Here is a 21183-nt window from a genome sequence, read left to right as displayed (position 1 = left end):
TAGAATGATTTCTTCAGGCACATGGGATTTTGTTCTGGCTGTCTGTCCCATTCACTGCGCATTATTTATATATTGCACATTGCGTGCGTATGTGCATGGTGTATGCGTGTGTTTCTTGTATTTTTTATTGCTCTCCCTTGTAGAACAGAAGCTCTTGGCAAGTATAGTCTCTGTGGGAAGCAGAATAATGCCCCCTGCAAGGTATCCGTGTTTGAATTCCTGGTATCTGTGAATGTGACCTTACATGGCAAAAGGGGCTTTGCAGATCTGATAAGTTAAGGATCTTGAGATGGCAGATTATCCTGAATTCTTTGGGTGGATTCAGGGCAATCACAAGGATCCTGAAAGTCAAGAGGGAGGCAGAAGACAGAGTGAGAATGATGCCTCGCCAGGCCCCAACTTCCCACTATGAGTTTTGAAGATGGAGGAAGGGGCCACATGAAAGGTGTGTGAACATCCTCTAGATGATGAAACAAACAAGAAGATAGATTCTCCCTGAGAACCTCCAGAAAGGAATTCAGCCCTGCTGACAACCTGACTTCAGCCCAGCAAGCCCTATGTCTGATTGTCGGGACTATGAAATAATAAGTTTGTGGTGTTGTAGGCCACTATGTTGGTGGTAATTTTTTACAGCAACAACAGGAAACTAATACAATCTCTGACACCTTTTTAATCTCCTGCAGCTTCTAACACAGTGTGTTGCACAGAGTCAGATATCTCTTGTAGCTGATCGCTCTCATCACTTCCTCTTTATTCTCTCAGTGTTTACCACCCTGCCCATGCTGGAACAGGACTGCAGTGGTCAGGATTTCTCTATTTGCAAATGACAGAAATCTAACACGAACTAGCTTGAGCCAATTTAAAAAAAAAAAAAAAAGAAAGAAAGAAAAGGAGGCGCGCACCTCGCATAAGTGAGACTGACCTCTGAGGGATGGCATTGGCTTTATTCCCAGCTGAGACTAGGGCCCAAATCAGCCCATGAAGACTCTCTGTCAATTTGCTTTGCTTTTCTTCTGTATTCAGGCTCCTATATTTCCATGACTTGCAAGTTTTTCCTGGCAAAACTTCCCTCTTTCTTTCAGGGAAGGATTCTTATTTGACTAACTTGTGGCTAGCGTGGTTGAAAGGGGCTGCAGTTATCTATTGACACATTAAAAAAACACCTCAACACATGTTGACTTAAAATACAAATATTTCTTTTATTTACTTATGTTTCTGAAATTTGTGCAAGGTATGTCAGGGACAGCTCATCTCTGCTCCACGTGACACCAGCTTGAGGCAGCTCAATTGGAGCTCAAGGATTCACTTCCTGGACAGCTTCTCCCATGCAAGTTAGTGCTGTTTGTTGGCTGGAAGCTCAGCTGGGGTTGCTGGCTGGAAGACTCAGTTCTCCTTCACATGACCTCTCCACATGGCTAGGTTGGGCTTCTCATGGTATGGCAGTCTTAGAGTAGTAGGACTTTGTACATAGCAACTGACTTCTTCCTGAGAACAAAGTGAAAGCTTCGAGTTCTTTTAAAGGCGTAGCCCAAAACTGATACAAGGATAGTCATGCCACATTCAGTTGATTACAGCAGATCACAGGGCCAAGCTCAGATTTATGAAGAGGGGACTACGTACACAAGGGCGTGAATACCATTGTCATGGTTTACTTGGGGCACCGAACTGTGGGTTTAGTCTGCTATGGTGGATAATGAACCTTTGTGACTAATGGTCTAAACAGGACCATGGGAAAATGGGAGGGCAGGCTCACAAAGGAAACAGGGCTGAAAACAAACCTCCAGTATCCATGGCAACCATTTCCTAGAGTGCTAGAAATTATTCAATAAAGCAAAGCTGTGTTTCTCTTTAAGTGTATTTACTACATAATTTGTACATTTTCTGGATTTGGGGAAGTAATTTAAAACTTAGGTTTAAACTTAAAGACTCTCAAACCTTTTTCCCATTCAACTTTTCTTATATTATGAATGAAAACGATGGTGATACATAGCAAACAGTGCTCTAAAGGAATTAACTTGTGCAGGATTCATGATAAATAAAGTATAATGTTACTAATCCAATGGTGGTTATTTGCCATAACCTTTTTAATGTGACAATTCTTTGGCCTACATCTGCATTTTTATGGTTTGCATTTATTCTCAACGGTATGAATCCCAAATTGTCAAATTACTTAGGCTGATTTGTGATAATTAGCTTTAAGTTAGAATATTTGAAATGCATTCAATTAATTTTATCTGTTTAGTGAAGTACAATATGGATTTTAGCATTACAAAGTTTTCTTTATAATATTAGCTATGCATTTGTTAAAGGACATGGTGGACTCAAATTACTCTCATTTGAATTTTATATTTAGAAAATGAGCATGCAGTATTGGGGATTAGGCAGTATTAAGAAAATGTATGTAGAAAGATTATCTAGGATGGAATCACCGAAAATCCTGGAATATTTAGCAGACACTTGTTGACTGATTTTACCTGCAGCAAATATGAGGCAATAACAACTGTGTAAATTATTTAGAGACTAGTCATCCATATGGGGATTCCTTAAAATCATTTCAGAAAACAATTTGGCAGGGTATTTTCTTTATACTTATTTTTTCCAAGTTCATGTACAAAAGAGATATAGATCCACACAAAGTGGATTATCACTGATTCTTTTAAAATGAAATTAAATATTTTAAAACATTCAAGTGACGATTGGGTGATCTTTCCTAGCTAAAGCTTTCTTTGGTAGTTTATTTATCTTAAATATTATTTTTGTCTTTCAAAGGGTATTATATAGTGAATGTAAGAGATTTATTAAAAACCTTGGATTGCTTGAGAGTGCTTTAGAACTTTGCCTTAAAATCTGCACATAGGCAAAATTCCTGATATTATGAGTTGGGATTTCCAGTGTAAGAGGATTTCAAATCGCTGCTGAAAAAAGGGCTTGTTACAGATTTCTAAGCATCCTGTATCAGAAAGGCCCAGCTACTTACACAATCGCTGAAACTAAAATGGGACAGGACCAGACACATGGAATGAAAGAGACCAATTTAGACCAAGTGAAAGGTATCAACTTCTCTTAAAATTAGCCTTTTATTCTAGAGAGAGATCTTACACAGCTCCAAAAGCAGATAGAATAATCAGTATTTACATAGTTATGGATCTCTTTGTATATGGAGATGGGAATTATTTTGTAAAGATTTCCATTGTTTAAAGCAGTTGGAGACATAGTGTTGGGAAGAGCAGTTATTTGGGTGTTTATAGACATGCAGTTAGAGACCCCAAATACTTACTTACAAGTCACGTGACCTTGAAGCATTCAAAATAACCTTTATTTCCCCTCCATAATAACATTTTCGGATCTCAGTCCTGCACTCTCTTGGGATTGTTCTGAAGATACAGTGAGAGAATACCAAAATACTTTACACACTACAAAGCATTATGTTATTAAAATTTATATTATCACTAGTAACAATAAAAATAAAACATGACTGGGTAACTGGCCTATACATACATGATGCATTAAAAAAATCCAAGCAGATTGGAAGTGTCTTATTTTTATAAACATGTTCACTCCAAAAGTATACAAGGTCCAAAGTAGTTCATGCATTTCCCCCCTATTATTTTTAAAGTACTAACCCTTATTTTATTGACTTGCAGTGGACACAAAATCTAGAGAGATGACTGGACGCATTTTTCCTGAATAGTTGGGGATTATATTTTATTAACTGCAACCCAGAAGGGTCATGGCTGTTTTTAAAGAGAAATTTGCCTCCTGGTATGGTTTCTTGAGATGATCAGTATCCGGTTTTAGGAGGTTTGGCAATGGTGTTGGGTGTGTGGGGCTGGTGGGATATTTTTGTTAATGGTTTGTTTCTCTGTGTTTCTCTCCCAGCTATCGGCAGGACCCTCATCCCCCGTTACTTTAGCACTGTGTTTGAAGGAGGGGTGACCGACCTGTATTACATTCTCAAACACTCGAAAGAGTCATACCACAACTCATCCATCACGGTGGACTGCGACCAGTGTACCATGGTCACCCAGCACGGGAAGCCCATGTTTACCAAGGTACAGGACAGGCTCTGTCACATGCCCGGCTTTTCCTACTCTGAGAGCATTAAAGAATAATAATTATGGTTTTCCTATGGAACCTGGGGCCGATTGCTCATCTCCCAGACACTTTCAACACCATGAGAGAATCTTTCTTGTTTGTGACATGGCTTGACTCTTGGGGTGAACACGGTTCTAAGATGTGTGCATGAGATTCTGAGCACATGAAAATCAAAGAGGAGGGAGCCCAAAACTAAGAGGAAGAGAGGTTCTAGTGCCTTTTAAATTTTAGTTGCTAGATTAGAATTGTTGTTTTATACAAAAGATCTACTATAGCTGAAAGAAATATCCTATTTTCGCGTGGTCAGCACTGTATTTCAGCTTTGTTACTGAAATAACTTTTTAGAGCTGGATTCAAATTTGAATAAGGGAAGAATCCTCTAACCATGACCCAACTGTAATCTGTAAGGAACATAAAAACTTTAAAATGTCAATGAAATTAGGGAATTCAACAAGCAGCTGAACAAGTATACTTACAAAAGAGTGAATGAGGGGAGGGCAAGTGTCAGGATCGGATTATCACAATGTTTGAGGCTGAATTCAAAGCCCCATGAAGGCTGTGAAATGAAAAATAGAAGAGATGGAGATTTAACCTCATCTTCTATACATTTTAGATCTATGATCCTTGCCCTACATAGGAAATTGACATATGGAATATTCCCTCTCACCAAAGACCTTTCTGGAACACTACAGATAATCTCTTTATGTCCTTTTGCAGGTAGGAAAATTAGTAAGAACAAATATTTAATCACAGAATCTGACAAACAGAAGTTTATTTTAATGAACACTAGTTTACTGCATTTTGACTAAGACTCAACATGAAACTAATTTGTGATATTAATGATAGCTATCTCTTTTAGTTCAAAACACAAATGACAACGCTCTCTTTATACTTAGGAGAGGTTGAATCATCAGGGTTAATTGCAGAAGCCCAATGTATAAAACTGAAGATGTGTTTATTACTTATGCAATTTTGCTGCAAGAATAAAAATATAATGTTTCTTATTTATTCATTGATCTTTTTGGTATACTTTCATCTCTCCAGTGCCCATGCTGGTGTACGAAACCAAAGGCAAAGGAAATGGTTGTAAAATGCAAAAACAAATCATCAAATACCATTAATTCTACGGCATCTTAATTTTGTCCGTAGACTTTTTTAAATGTAGGAAAGGGTAGGGTTTTTCTTTCTTCCTGTTCTAACAGGCAGAGAGGAGAGTTGTCAGTCAGAGACAAAGAAGCTTCACACTGGATGCAGAAGTCCTGGCTGACAAGAGACTTTTGCTACATGGAAAGTAATGATCACCTGAATGATGGTTTAATCTGCCCATGTCTCACTTCATTCTGGAGATGCAGAACATTTACATAATCTTGTAGATCAGACGGACATGTAAGCCATTCATTTTGCAAGCCATTCATTTCTAGTGTTACAAAGTCTTAGCACTGCAGAGAAAGCCTTTCTCTGCTCCTTCATTATTGGTTTTTTTTTTCTTTTTTCCTCTAGGCTTAATGTTATTTTTAGGTAATTCAAGAGAAACATACCAACTCCTTATGCTGTAAGGGGAAAAAAAAAATCCATGATAATTAAATTAAAAACTTTGCTGTAATTAAGGAGCTGCTTCCAAAGCCAGTAGCCATTGAAAATAAAAATGTATTTTGTAGTAGTCCTTTTATATATTTACTCAATTTCTTTCTCAGGCCAAAACTGATTCATAAATGAACATAGCTGCTCTGAAAGTTTAGTGCTGAACATTTGGGACTTGTTTTAGATCGAAAAGAATCCCATTCTTCAGATGAATCGATAAAGTGTTATTTTCATTCAAATCCAGAAACTAAGGTTTTCCTGTGTTGCATTCTTTCTTATCCTGAAATTTTCCTCTCAGATGGTTGAGTGATTTGTTCAGGTATCTAAGGTGGTCACCAGAAACACCTGAGCACTCCCCTGAACCGAGCTCCCTTGCCCCAAGCAGCAATTGTTTGGACCACCCATCTGATGCGACTCCAAGGAAGTATATTTGCCGACTCTTGAAATGAATATTTCCATACCGTGATGAAAAATATCACTTTCTGGGAAATGGAGCTCAGTTTCATGGACTTAGTCCAGATGCTAATTATGCACATTTATTTTTAGGAAATTTGAAAGGATCCATTTTTTTTTTCTTTTTTTCCTCTCTCAATTTTTTGTTTTTTGTTTTTTTGCTCCTTGGTGATTATTATAATACTCAAAAAACTTTCCAATGTTGTTTTTCTTATATTAATTAAAAATAACTCATTTACATGTAATAAAATATCATGGCTGTTTACTACAAAACAGTGGGCTAATGACCTTTCAGACCTTTTTACAAAGAAAAAGGGTCCAGAAGCCAATGCTTATTTTTAAAGGGAAGCCTGCTATTAGTACTTAGCATATTATGTGCAGGCAGCATCGCAGTGTTCTAATTTAGGCTATCAATAAACTCTCATTCCCCAAATAGCATTTGACCCAGTGGTTCTGAGTTGCTTTTATGAAAATTTGGTCAACTGGTGAATCAAAAATCAGTCGCAATCCTAATCAACAGAAATATTAACTATTCCTCAGGAGTATCATGAGCATTATTGCAATTTCCTGATACCAGGAACATTATTGATTATGGATAAATGTGTAATTAGAATTTTAAAACACACATTATAAAGCCTTTCTTTTATGTTTTCAGTTTTTTAATCAAATAGAAAACAAGGTTTAATAATCAGAAGAGCAGACATCAAGGTTTTCAGAATTAAAGACTCTGAGTAATATTTATATTTGAGGATGTGAACACTGGTGGATTCTGGGAGGAACACTTTCTAGGGTACATTCTTGGGGTTAATTTTAGATTTTACACACTGAAACAAAGTTATGGCCATTATTGGCCACCCTTATCATCTCTATAAAGATTGGTTTATGTTTTCTCTGTTCTCAATTGTTTACTATGAATTTTTTTACTGCTACAGAGAAGTACCATGGAAATGCACCCACCAGTTTTCCTATATGAATACTCACTTATGTCTTTGACAGTTCATCCTTCTTACCTTAGCCTGTATACTACATTATATTTCAGAATTTCTTCTCTTCTCCTGACTCTAACCAAATTATAATATCAATGATCAGATCATGTGTGTGTTTGTGTGTGTGTGTGTGTATATATATATATATATATATATATATATATATATATATATGTATGTATAATGCATATGAATGCGTTTACATATGCAGTACCACTAAGGAAAATACAATGAGCTTTGCACAAGTGTTAATCTAAAAGCACTACTCCATGCATGCTGTTCCAAGCATACAAACTCAGAAAATTACATAAACACTCCCACTTAACAAGCACACTTGATTTCATCGAAGCTATATGAGAATCATTGTATTATGCAGCTATATACACAGTCAATATTGCGTTACAATTAGCCAAAGAAAGAAAAGGGTTAAAAAGCTACTGGTTAGTTTGAGAAATGTTCTTTTTTAGTTTTCTTGTTCCTGGCCTAGTCTCAAGCTAGCACGTGATCGGCTGAATGCCTGCCAGCCTCTTTCTTGTTGATCCTCCGGAGACCATCTGTACTGGGGGCATTGATTAGAGTGTGTCTGCTGGGATTACATCTTTTCTGTTGCCATGCCAACTAATCAGCTGATTTTGGTTACCACAGAAACAAAATGTCAGAGCTCACAGTACGGTAACATGAATTCAGCACAACAGAAAATGTTTTCTTAATTGGGGACCCTTTTGATTTTGGATTCCAAGTGAAAGGCAGCTTTAAAAAAAAAAAAGGCCGACTTCAGATAAAAGCTACATTAATTGTATTGATTAAGAGGAATGCACAGAATTTTTCTGAAGAGAGAAGATGTTAATTCCCTTTTATAGGCTATGCCTGTTTTTTTACCATTTCTGAATAGGAAATACATATATATTTTTTCTTATTTGCCTCCATTCCATTTGCTGGCTGTTGCATGTAAAACAAATCACAAAGCCTTTGGTTTCCTTTAATTTCTATGCTGGGTACAGGGTGTGGAGTGGCTGTCTAGGGCCTGGAAGCTGTGGGTGTAATTACTTGGGGAAGACCAGCAGTGACCAAAATCCTCCTCTGTCCTTTCATTCAAATAAGTCATTTATTTTTCCTTAAAGAAAACATCCAGCGTAGTCAACTCAGATTTGATTCTAAGGATTCCTGCCTTGCACATGGTATACCCCAGTTAAACCCTTGGTTTTGACTGAAACTAGGAGGAGCCCAAGGCCTGCTGCAATTTTCCATTTGTAGGCCCATGACAATTTGACTGCAAGAAAGGTCCCCAACTAGCTCGCTCTGTTACCGTGAACAAAGGACACAATTTAAGTTGACCTTACAGATGCTCCAACTGAGTAATCTGTCAGAGGACTACATACATGCCTTCTCATTATGAAATTCTCTCCCAATAGAAGTAAACCAGACCCTTCACCTGCCCTGCGTTTGTGGTTCATAAATGCAAAACAAATATATTAGATAATTTTTTAAACACTGACATTTAACTAAGCTAATATTTGTTTAAATATCCAATAATCTCCCCCTTTAAAAAGGATTATAGCATCCAAAATCCCTGTCGTGTTTTTGTCAAGACACTTCACTGTTGATGGCTCCCCATAGCTACCTCTCTTTTGTGAAAGCTGTCACCACAGGTGGCTTCTGTCATGCCGACACCCCAGGGGGAATTGTGTGGCTTAATCTCCATGCAACTCTTTTTAATGTCTTCGTAAATTAATTCCAAAGTTGATGATGCTCAAGGGGAGAGGTTTGGGGGAACTGAAGTCTTCTCCCTTTTCTATGCGCTCAACTCTCATGGCTGAGACACCAGAAACAAGGCACTGAAGACTACACAGCCAAGGGGTTTTGAGGCAATGTGCCCACATGCCTGAAATTACCCACAGGTCCTGCTAATTGGATCTGAGGCAAAGGTCTTCACCCAGATTATCAATAATTATCCCACAGTGTTTCTGAAATCTTTGATAAGACGAAGATGGCACACGTTAACAGCATCTTTCTCGAGTAGTGTCCCATCAACACTTGTTAGTAATTCTCCTGTACTGGCATTTGACTTGCTTAAAGAACATGTTACCTTCAGTTAGAGCGCATGGAATGCACCCAACCCAGTGCTGTGGACCAAGTTGCAATTCAGTAAGTGGTGGTGTTTTGTGTTACATTTCCAAAGAGGAAAGTGATTATTAATATTTCGTAAAAGGCTGATATAAATTGTTCACTAACTTCGTGGACTATAGTTTTACAAATACTTACATTCTCTCTTCAGTTAATTAATTTTTACTTATTCATTTATTTGTTTTTGAGTGTGTTTTTTCAAGTGTCTGGAGTGTTGTATGTTTGTTTTTAGCCTAGGAAATCTTTCTCCAAAAAGCTTGATCGGAAGCCCAATGCAGTAAAAAACAGACAAAAATCAAAGCTGCTTAGTGAAATCCAGAAAGTCAATGAGGATCTCAAAGCCGAGATGGAGGCCCAGCTCCTCCCAGCAGAGCCCCTGAGAAGCCGCCGCTAGTGAAGCCCTAGGTCTCAGGTGGCACATGATGACCATTACTGGTCTAGCGCTTTGTGTTTTCTTGGGTAGCATTCTTTTTATCTGTAGCGCTATCATTTACTGCTATCCTACTACATGCCAGGCACAATTCCAGGTAGCCTACGTACATAACTTTATTTAATGAATTTTCCTAACATTCTTACCCAAGGATATTTCTATTTCCATTTTACAGTGAGAAAAACTGGAATTTGGGGAATTTATTAGATTTTCCCCAAATTTCCAGAATGAGTAAAAAGTAGAATTGGGATTCAAATCCAGTACCCTCTGATGCCAAAGTATCCGCCCGCTATTTTGTACTGCTTTCCTAAGGCAGAAATCGTCTGATTAATGAGTTGTAACTATTTAAATTGAACCAATACACTACCACCACTTCCTAGCTCATAGTTGAAATAGGCTCAGCGGTTCGTGATTGCATAGCACTTTCCTTCATTTCAAAGTTGTTAATAGTGAAAGGAATGGTAAATAAAATAGGAACTACATGCTAAAAATGCTATGAATATCAAAAAAAGATTAAAATGCTACTCTGTCACTGATTACTCTATCAAGGAAGAGACCTTCAAAATTCTATTATGTTTCATTAATAATATATATTATTCTTAGAAAGATAAAGTGTCCCATCCCCCTAAGACTGGCCTTTTATGCAAGCAGAATTTATCATTGCTGATGTGCTGAGATTCAAGGAAAATACTCTCCACCATGCTTCTATTTTCTACATGTCAGTAACTGATAATAACTGCCTTGGGTTAAACATTGCCCTCCGGAATTTCGTTTTGGAAATAAAAACTTCCTCCAGTCAGATCAAGTTGTAGTAACTCACACTTAACCATGAATGAGTTTATTGGGTACTTTGTCCTAGAGCAGGATAACCAAGATTAGAATAAGAGCTCAAGCCTCTATGGTTGAAGGATGATGAAAGTGGAGGAAAACTTTTTGACCCAATGTCACTATAAGATGGGTTTTATCTCCATATTTACAGATGAAGAAACTGAGGGTCATAGAGTTTCAGTAGTAACTAGTAGAATTACTAGCACATCATGGCCAATAAGCAGCTGTACAGTCACTTGAACCCACTGATTTTAGAGCTGACATTTGTACCGTGTGCAGTGGACACATCACTCGTGTCACATCTTTACCAAGAGCTAGCACTGCCCAAGGACAGAAAGGGAGACCACGCTGAGTGGCTATGTGAGTTACAAAATGTGGCTTTCACAAAGTGCGTAATGAATGACTGTGTGGTTTGTCACTTCCAGGTATGTACAGAAGGCAGACTGATCTTGGAGTTCACCTTTGATGATCTCATGAGAATCAAAACATGGCACTTTACCATTAGACAATACCGAGAGTTAGTCCCGAGAAGCATCCTAGCCATGCATGTAAGTAATTTAATTTCTGTTTTGCTTTCTTTTCTTTTTTTTCCTCCTTCATTTCACTCAAGGGGAAAAACCCAGTCCTCTCTCTGTGAAAGAATTCCAGTAGTTGTCACGCTTTAGGTAATTAACTCTAAATATTGAGTTTTGTTCTCAACGGTTTTAATCCACAGGCCCTTTTCTCCCCTTTTTGTTTCCAAGATTGGTACATTGTGAGACTATTTTTTATATTTTATTATTTTGAACTCCAAATTGAGGTTACTTCAATAAACAGTTTGTACTTTTCTTAAATTCCATCCAGTCATTATCAAGTACTGCTCTGCTTGGGGCTAATAAACCTGTTATGTATAACTGGGGAATGAAATAAAACAAGAAGTTAGAAAAACAGTTTCCAGTTTTGATTAGAACCATCTGACGAGACATGGGACTCCTCTATCTTCAGATTTGTGTCAGAAGTTGGTCCTCCCTGATCACAGTGCTAAATCTGAAGTGGAATATTTGGGCTTCTCTTGGTTTTGTTTGACCATAAATCACATCAAATTTATTGAGCACAAATTAGGTGCAAGGGTGGGTTCTATGCCGATCTAGAGATGTATTTTAAATGTAAGTAGGAGCTAGTCAGCTGTAATCTCTTAAGAAGTCGTCAAAGGCATCAACTTAAATTTAAGTCTCTCCTCTATAATACATGATGCTTCCATGAAAATCTTTGGAGCAAAATCAAACTTCATAAGCCTAATTTTAAAGACCCTGAACAATCAAAAGAAAATAGCATAACAGTAACTACCATTTACTGATTTTTTTTTACTCTGCCAGGCCTTGAGCTAAACATTTTGTATATCTCATGATATTGAATCCTCACAGTCAGGCAGAGAGTTGAGTTAGTATTGTTCCTGTTTTAAAAGCAAGGAAACTGATGTTCAGAGAATCAGTAAGTTGCCCCATGTTTTTTAGCCCAAAAGTAGCAAAATCAAGATTTTGCCCGAGGTGGTTCTGACTTTGTCTCCCAGCTGTCCCACTCCTGGCTATTTCTCCACGCATTAGTTGTCAGCCACCTCTTTCTGACTAGTTAACACAAGCTCTGCCCTTCCCATTAGCCTTATGCTTTTTGTTGCACCCCCACTCTCCTGCTCCATGATTTCTGGCTGTTTATGCTCCAAGCCCTTGGTTTTTAAAGCTTAGTTTACATTCTCCACTCTCTTTGAGGAAGTCTGGAATATTCACTTCTATTATTCTCAAAATAGACTAAAAGGCAGCAAAGGATAACAGTTGGGAACCTGGGCCCTGGATTGAGACCACATAGGGTTGGACCCTTGCTCTTGTGTGACTTTGGGCAAATGATGTGACATCTCTGTGCTTGTAGTCCCTCATCTATAAGATGGGTACAGTAATAAAGCATGTTTCAGACCATCGAATTAAGAGTTAATGACTGTAAAGCACTTAGAACAATGCCTGGCACATAGTGTGTCCTCTACAGGTTTTGGCGATTGGCTCTCATCATCATCACCGGTAGCCACAGCAGCAGGAACAACATTTTTGCATTTCTTTATTATTATCTTTCCTGTCTTTTGACTGAAATGTAAGTTCCTTGAGGTTGACCCTGGCTACTTGATAGAACAAACGCTTCCTAGCACATAAGAGTGGTTTAATAAATATAGGCTCAATGTCAGGGAAGACCTCTTTTAGGAAATTGACATGAAACTGACATGCTCTGTTTTCTCCTGCATTTTTTATTTATATATACAAATCCAATTGGTAGTATCACTATGAGAAAAGGCATGTACAGAAAAGAATAAGTCACATTAGTATAATCTAGTCTCATGAAGGCAGACGTGGAGACAAGGGGATGTTTACATCCATCTCCCTCTGTTTAGTGCCAATTTGCTTATATCAATTAAGGAAGAAGGAAAGGCAAACAGAAAGAAAGAATATCAACCAAGAGAGTCATTTTAAAATGGATCCCAGAAAGAATTTCCATTTTCTTCTAGCCAAACAGAACATTTGGTGTGGCCCATGGTACTTTATATCCCTTCTTAAAATGTGGCTGACATTTTGGAAAATGTGATACTTACTCTTACAGTCCTGCAGGATAAAAATTGTTGGGGATATCTATTTCCAGACTCAGCTTAATGGGGAGGAGAGTGAGAATTCTGTCTCTCCATATATATGTGTGTGTGTGTGTGTGTGTGTTTTGTGTGTGTGTGTGTGTGTGTGTGTGTGTGTGTGTGTGTATTTCAAGACAGTGGCAAAGTTTTCCAATACAGCCCTCAACCCCAAGCTGTAAAAACACCACCGCTATCACAGCAGGAAACAAAGGCCAGTCCTGAAGCATGGATCTGCCCAGTCCAGGGGGACTGGCTTCTCTAATGAGGGCGTTAGACCTGGAGCTCTCCTGGCAGAGTTCTGTGACTCAGGCTGGAGACCCGAGTGCCAAGGCCTCTCCAAGAGGAAGTAACATCATTTCTCCCAAGGACTGAAAGCACATCTGAGCAGTTTGGTTTTTCCCCAGTCTTGCACAATTGATCTGAAAATGTCCTTGAGTGTTATATGCAAGTGTCTTCAAAATGTAAATTAAATTACCTCCAGCAGCCTGCCCTCCAAATAAAATCAACAATGTCGAGATTGCATTTCTTAGCAGCTGTAGCACAGTCTGAGATTTTCTCAGGACCGTCCTGTAGTGATAAAATACATGTGGGGTTTTTTTTCCATTTAGGCACAAGATCCTCAGGTCCTGGATCAGCTGTCCAAAAACATCACCAGGATGGGGCTAACAAACTTCACCCTCAACTACCTCAGGGTAAGATCAATCGAATGATTTTATTTTTTGGTGAGTTTGAAAAGTACTCCAGAGGTTTATATGCATCCTGAACCAAGAAGTTAAAATGAGGTACTGGTGATATAGCAGTGTCTATGTTCTGTACCAGATGTATGTGTGTGTGTGTGTGTTTTCAATGGAGGACAGGGTTTAATTAACAAAGCATCAAACCTGGAATTTGTCAGGGTTGAGTCCTATATCTGTATGTCTCTTGGAATTAATTATTCAAAGGCTAGCAATGTCCCATTGTTGCAAAATGCTTTGTGGCTGCTTCCCTTGTGGTTGTCTCAAGTTCAAATGGGTTATTGGTGAGTTCATTACCCCAGTGCCTCCACCCAGGCACTGGTCACCCCTTAGGAGAATCAATATACTGCCCCATAGAGTCTCCTGAAGAAATCCAATCCCGTGCTGAAACACAGATATTTCTAAGGCTTCATAAGCACTCTCTGCACAACATGTAACAGATTTGGTGGTGGGTAAAAGAAGGAGATTCTTCCTCTCTACAGCTTAGATTCCCCAGAGCCAAATCCAGGCCTGACAAGAGGCAGAATCAGCTGTGCTCCCCACCCGCCCATCCTAACACCCCTGCCATTGTGGTGGCCCTGAACCACTAAAGAGCCCACTGGTCTCTGCTCAGAGGGAAACCAAAGTCAGCCCAGGAGTGTGGGTGGACGGCGGGTGCTCCCAGCCAGGGTAGCTGGGGCTACATCTTCACAAACCTCTGGTCTCCGCAGTCAGAATGGCTCTCTTGCGGAGCAACTGACATAGTGCGGGTGGGTGGCCTGGGGCGTGATGGTCTATGAAGTTGTTCTCTCCACAATCCAGAAGGCTGCTCTGTACTGCTGGGCATATCGTCTTGTCAGGGAACAGGAGAGTTTTCGCTTAAAACAGGGAAGATGCTCTTCCTCCTGCAGATAAAGAAGTCCCACACTGTGTGTCCTCAGCTGACCCCACATAGGAAGCTGGGACTTTGAAGTCTATCCTAGACTTGGTCACTCACCCTATAGCAAGATCTTGGACAGATTCTTAGTTACATCTTTTAGCTGCATTTAACACAGATTAATAAACATCAAATTTCCTTCCTGCTTCTCCCCACTCCTCTTATTGTCATCTGTAAATGGTTGACTTTCACCTTGTGGTCAAGGCCCACCAGGTACCCCACATCCTGTGGCCCATGAAGACTGAGGTCAGACCTGTAAAAGGGAAAGAAGGCACTACCCGTCTCCTGACAATGATAGCAAGGAAATCATGTATGGGTTTGGGCAGTAGGGAGTAGTGTTTCGAGGTTACCACACGAACACCGTGCTTGCTGCATGTCAGGTTCTTTGCCATGTATCTTGTGACTGAAGTAGTCTCATAATGGACCCTGTGCCCCATTACCATCCCTGTAGCAAAGTGAGGCACCGAGGGTTTCAGTAGGTGGAGTAAGTTGCCCAGCTTTACACACAAGTGGCAGAACTGGGACTTGAACTCAGGCAGCCTGACCCAAGAATCCATGCGCTTCACTGCAGAATGCTGCTCTCTTGCTAGTGAGCACGGGAGACTGATGATATGGATAGGAATTGGGTCATATCTTTCTTGCCTTTGCTAGACAGTCAGCATCTATCAGTAAGCCTTCATTCACTTTGCCAAAAATAATATCAGCTCCTTGTAGGGTTTAGTTCCAGGACTGGGTCAGAAAATCCATGTAAAGGGCTTAGCACAGGGCCTGGGGACAGAAAGTGCCTCATTTGTGTTCAGTCTCATCATGTATTGAGACCTTCTGTGTACCCATCATTGTTTGATGTGCTGGAGCCACGTAGAGAAACACAGCGCCGACTCTCTACTCTCACTCTGGGGGTGTCTAATGCTACTTTATTTCCTGACTTGTGCGTCGTGATTCAGTAGCTATTTACCTTCCCTGCCTTCGTTCCATTCTTTTTCACTCACTCATTACTCCTGGCAGTTTTCCAGTTGCTGGGCTTCATGGTGGAGCAATGGCCTCTGTCCTCAGTTGGTAGTCACAGGCTGGTGGGATGTGGTCAGCTGTGGTTCCAGCGAAGCGTGCTGAAATAGAGGGAGATGCAAAGCCAGAGATAGCCCAGGGAATGATCCTCAGGTCTTAAGGAGCAGCTCAGTGTAGAAGCCATGCCTCCTAGTCACAAATCCTTCGGGCTGACGTGGGCCGCTTGACAGGTCATGGCTGAGCGGATCTCAAACTCATTGCCCAAAAGCAGTGAACATGGGCTTCCGTGTGGTTATCCATATGGGGTAGGTCACTGAGAATGACAGACAAAGGTCATTTCTTCCATTTAGAACTGGGATTTAAGATTCTTCTAGTAGCCTTATCATCTAATTTTTTTAAGACAGCGGAGCAGTCACAAAATACATTCATGTATAAAGTTGCCTTAAGATCTGAAGCCTCCACGTCCATCTGAGGAGCCTGGCCTTTGTCTCAAGCCCCAGAAGGTCAACTGAAGTATTGTGCAAATAAGGTAACAAGAAGCTTCAATGCCACTCCCAGTATCAGAAAAAGAGGTCAGATGGATACTTTGGTAAATATGAATCCAAAGCCTTCTATGCAGTTGAAGAACTTTAAAAACTGATGCGTCCTGTTTTGGAAAGGATGGATAGAGATTTTAAAGGCTCCAGCCATTGAAATTTCAATATGCAGTGTCTAACGTAACAAAATTAAGCAGAGCAGAAAGTAGGCAATTACAGCCATCTAGCTTCGTCAAAACAAGTTCATTTATTCCAATGAAATTCTAATCATTCTCACGGAGACCTGCAGTCAGGAAATACACAGAGCTGACCGAAGGCAGCTCTCACCGTTGGAGGGAGGAGCAGGCGAGACCCTGAGGATGGCCGAGCTGTGGACATTGTGAATGCAGATGATGGGGCTGAACACAGACGCTGGCCAGCAGCACTTTGGAGGGGGCTCTGGTGACCTGGTGCTTTTGAAGCAACAACAAGAACAACTATTGTCATTTGATTTGGGTTATCAAATCACCTGCTGTTCCCTCTTGTCGTTCCCTCCTGTCGCATCCCAGCATGACAAGGTTAGAGGTGCCCCGAGCTAAGAGGTACGATGATGGCTGACTTGGTGGTCCCAGTGGAGCTGTGGCTGGAAGCCGCTGAGCCTGCAGAGATGGCGCCCTGTCACAGTGCGGTCTCACTTCCTCTACAGGCTGCCTCTGTGACCTCTAGAGGGGGCTGTGGCTTGCTGACTGAGTGTCCCTGCAGCAGTTATCCAAGCCAGAGCTGGGAAGGGACCTGCAGGATGGGGAAGTCATTATTTTGTTGCTGTTGGGTATTCCGATACCGGGTGGTGGGTTTCACGAAGCATGTCCTCAGTGTTCTGGGGAAAACTGTTCCATGACATGGGGAGATGGCACCTTTCAGTAAGCAGCACTCTCTGGTGCTGGAACTTGAGCACTAGAATGGGAGAAGCAAGCCAGGAACTCGGAAATGTGTCCTTTGCCTTGTTTGTTGGGAAGCAGAAGTCCTGTTGTCCGCCTGGCATTTTATGAAGGGATCCAATTCAGCAACCATGAGAAGGCAGTGCAGTTTAGTGCGCATTGGGCCATCCGGGTCAATGAGACCTGGCTGTGGAGCCTTGTCAGTTCCCACCAGATCCTGTTTGCCCATTTATTCATTGTTCATTTCACAAGCATTTCTGACACACTTTCTTTGTGCCAGGTTTATGCCCTCAAGGTGATCACTGCCTAGAATGTAAGAAAGAAAAACAAATACACTCTTGGAGAGAAATTGCTCCCAGGTGCAGTGAGAAACATAGCACTAGCTAACATTTCTGGGGCACTTACTATGTGCCAGGCATTGCTGCTATATGCTTTGCAGGGACTTACTTTCTTTTCCTTCCTTCCTTCCTTCCTTCCTTCCTTCCTTCCTTCCTTCCTTCCTTCCCTTCCTTCCCTTCCTTCCCTTCCTTCCTTCCTTCTTTCTTTTATTTCCCTCCCTCCCTTCCTTTCTTTCTTTCTTTCTTCTTTCCTTCGTCTTTCTTTTTTTTTTCTTTAAATACTCACAGCATCCATATGGGGTAAGAACTATTTTTAGTCCTATTTTGCAGGAGAGAAAACTGAGGCACAGAGAAGTAACTTCCCAAGGTCACAGAACTGGTAAGTGGCAGTTCAGGGATCTGGACCCATGATCTGATTCCAGGCACAAAAGACAGAGAGGTTGTTAGAAGACAGGAGAAGGAGGCTGCAAAGTCTTCATAGAGAAGATGGCCCTTGGATTGATTCTAAAAGTTGAGTAGGTGATCATCAGGCAGACAAGGCAGAGGACAGTCCAAAGAGAGGGTCACTGTGAGAGGGGTCAGAGAAGGATGGAGAGTGTTAGTGACTTGGGGAGCTCTAGGAAGTTTCACATAGTTAAAATATAAGTTTCAAGTTTGTTTTAGGTACCAACAAAAGTAGGTGTTTTGAGCCAAAACAATACACCCTGGCTGAGTGATATAATTCAAAAGATTTTTTTTTTCCAGTAACAGCATGGTCAAGACAAGCATCCTCTCACTGTGACATGGGCTTGGGAGTAAGTTAAACAGTATGTATCTGAGAACATCATCTTCTTACTAGCTGTGTGACCCTGGGCAAGTTGCTTGACCTCTCTGAGCCTTCATTTTCTCATCTGTGAAATGGGCTACGCCATCTCTCTCGCTAGGTTCTAGTAGGATAAATGCACGCAGAGCTTTCATTACTCATTCACCAAAGTACCTTTGTAAATGCTTCTGGTCCTCTTTTCTGGGTAGAGCACATCAGAATCTTTCATTGAATTCCCCTGTATGCAGAGCTCATGAGAAGGACTCCATGGGTCAAAACACACGGGAGTTGATCCTTCTCCCTTAATTCTTCGCTTTCATTTCATCAAAATGAAAGCTTCTTCTAACTCAGTTTGAAATTGCCATCATTTCAAATTTCTAATATGAAATTCTTGCATGTGAATGTTTACTGTATGCAACAACCATGTTTTCTTTAAATAGCTTTAAAGAATAAGATTTTAAAATTGGAGAAGTAATTGATGTCTATTTTATCTCCAACAATATAAAGAAAAGAGGGGTGGACAATGCAGAAATCATATCCTTACACATTTAAAGCAAGCTGCCACAAACTTCCAGGCTGGCATTGAGTAAAATGTGCCATTTTCATGTTCATTTATCTCCTGTAACAATAGAGTAGGCATTCCTTGCATTCACTGAACAGAATGCAAGAAACAGTAGGAATGGCATTGCTTTATACAGTTGTCTACATCTCTGATGATTTGGGGTAGTCTGCTTTCATTCATAAATTTCACATCAATTAGCTAACCAAGAATTTGGTGGCATCTACTTACTATATTTTAGTCACAAAAAGGATGGAGTGGGATGTTTACAAGAATGCCTAAGGCACATTCTCTTTTTTAAAGGAATTTAAGATACTGTTACAAGTAAGTCTGCTTCCAGTTCATATTGTCAGTCTCATCTGGGGACTTCAGGTCATTCCAGAATTTTTATCCTCTCCTAATTTTCCTAAGGATATCATGATCCTCTCAGTCTCAGCAGGGGGCTTAAATTTGACTTGTTTACTTGTTTACTTAAATTTGACCTGAATTTTTCAGTGTATTAATCAATTGCTCTGCTTCACCACACCTTCTTTCATTTGTACACAAAGCCCTCTGTGATCCTGCCTCTGCTGCCTCCCAGCCTCATTCCATGCCCCTTCCCCAGCTAGTACTCCATCCTGGACCACACGAACCACCTACAGTTAATCCAAATTGGTCATGCTCTCTTGCCTCCATGCCTTTGCACAGCATGACTCACTGCCACTGCCTGGAACGCTGTTGCTACCCTTCTCTCATCATCCAATTTTCCCAGGCTAAATCCTCCTCATCCTTCAGGATTCCTTCATCTATCAACTCCTGTGAGAATATCTCTCTGACTCTCAGCTGGGGTAGGAGCCTCTCCCCAGTGCTCTGGGAGTTCTGTGCACAGTCTCAGGATTAACTCTTGGCAGGTCCCATATAAGAATTGTCTCCCCACTCGTTTGTCTCCTGAACTAGACTCTGAGCAATGTGAAGACACGTAAGTACCCAGTAGATATCTCTTGAGTGTATGCTTGGCAGATGGATGGTTTGGTAAATGGAAGGCAAAATTTCAAATGACAACAATAAGAACCACACAAATAAAACTCAGTTGAATTCATTTGCCCTACAGCATCTAGAAAAAAACATGTGATTCATTTCTAAAATCACTACCTAGAACTTCACCATGAAATCTGAGGAACAAAAGAGTTGAATGCATTGAGAAAATAAAAGGCAACATGGTATGAGGCCCTCACATCTCTCTAGGGTGCAGATTCCCACTTAAATACTCAGAGCTCCCGATGTTAAATTTTTATTCTAATATTATTTCTTCTACTTGCTCTAAATCAGTATTTAATCCTTACTCTAAATGTCATTATGGTATTTTCATTATACTGGAAATGCGTTCTTCTAAATATTGAAAACAGATTTTTTAATGAATGATTATCTTTTTCTATTTCCTTTGGCCACATTTTCTTAATGCTAGGTTACAAATGCTTCTTTTGTGTTTTGTTAAAATTTTAAAATTTTCAGGGTACATAGTAGGTGTATATATTTATAAGTTACATGAGGTATTTTGATACAGGCATGTAATGCATCATAATCACATCAAGGTAAATACGGTATCCATCACCTCAAGCATTTATCTTTTGTGTTTCAAACAATCCATATTCTTTTAATTATTTTAAAAAGAACAATTAAATTATTTTTTTACTGTAGTCACCCTGTTGTGCTAGATTTTTAAAATTCTTTCTAACTCTGTTTGGGCACCAATTAACCATCCTCCTTTTCCGCCACCCTGACCCTTCCCAATCTGTGGTGACCATCCCCACTCTCTATCTCCAGTTCATTTGTTTTAATTTTTAGCTCCCACAGATAAATGAGAACATGCAATATCTGTCTTTCTGTGCCTGGCTTATTTCACTTAATATAATGACCTTCAGTTCCATCCATTTTGTTGTAAATGACAGAATCTCATCTTTTATATGACTGAATAGTACTCCATTGTGTATATGTGCCATATTTTCTTTATTCATTTGTCTGTTGACAGTTAAGTTGCTCCAAAATCTTGGCTATTGTTAATAGTGCTGCAATAAACACAGGAGTGCAGCTATCTCTTTGACATACTGATTTCCTTTCTTTTGGGTACTTAGGAATGGAGTTGGATTGCTGGATTATACTATATTTAGTTTTTTGAAGAACCTCCAAACTATTCTCCATAGTGGTTGCACTAATTTACATTCCTACCTATAGTGTGCAAAAGTTCCCTTTCTCCAC

At 40.0% G+C, this 21183-nt stretch overlaps 1 protein-coding gene and 1 long non-coding RNA gene across 24 annotated transcripts in view, besides 1 other annotated feature; one reads left to right on the top strand and one right to left on the bottom strand.

Moving 5' to 3' along the window:
• Positions 1-21183, top strand: part of LDB2 (LIM domain binding 2) — a 397105-nt gene that overhangs the window by 298891 nt on the left and 77031 nt on the right. For all 22 annotated transcript variants that reach the window (XM_017008813.3, XM_017008821.3, XM_005248197.5 and 19 more), the window contains 3 exons: positions 3880-4052; positions 10923-11045; positions 13750-13833. In XM_017008813.3, the coding sequence (XP_016864302.1) occupies positions 3880-4052; positions 10923-11045; positions 13750-13833 (380 nt within the window). The remainder of the gene's footprint in view (positions 1-3879; positions 4053-10922; positions 11046-13749; positions 13834-21183) is intronic.
• LOC124900604 (uncharacterized) lies at positions 1180-4666 on the bottom strand. 2 transcript variants are annotated; one of them, XR_001741395.2, is made up of 3 exons: positions 4572-4666; positions 3278-3374; positions 1180-1485 (listed from the first exon to the last, which is right to left on the bottom strand). It is a non-coding gene; the product is annotated as an uncharacterized LOC124900604 (long non-coding RNA). The 2 variants fall into 2 exon arrangements; XR_007058070.1 differs by having other exon boundaries at positions 1355-1485; positions 3282-3374.
• Positions 8357-9126: an enhancer, noted in NCBI's record as "OCT4-NANOG hESC enhancer chr4:16592252-16593021 (GRCh37/hg19 assembly coordinates)". NCBI's record gives its function as "activates a minimal SCP1, AML or CMV promoter by ChIP-STARR-seq in naive H9 embryonic stem cells {active_cell/tissue: H9 hESC(naive)}" and the evidence as "EXISTENCE:reporter gene assay evidence [ECO:0000049][PMID:30033119]".

The sequence above is a fragment of the Homo sapiens genome, chromosome 4 (assembly GCF_000001405.40).
Source record: "Homo sapiens chromosome 4, GRCh38.p14 Primary Assembly".
In the NCBI taxonomy this organism is placed as follows: domain Eukaryota; kingdom Metazoa; phylum Chordata; class Mammalia; order Primates; family Hominidae; genus Homo; species Homo sapiens.
The sequence above is the reverse complement of the archived record's forward strand: the minus strand, read 5'-3'. Positions and strand labels throughout refer to the sequence as shown.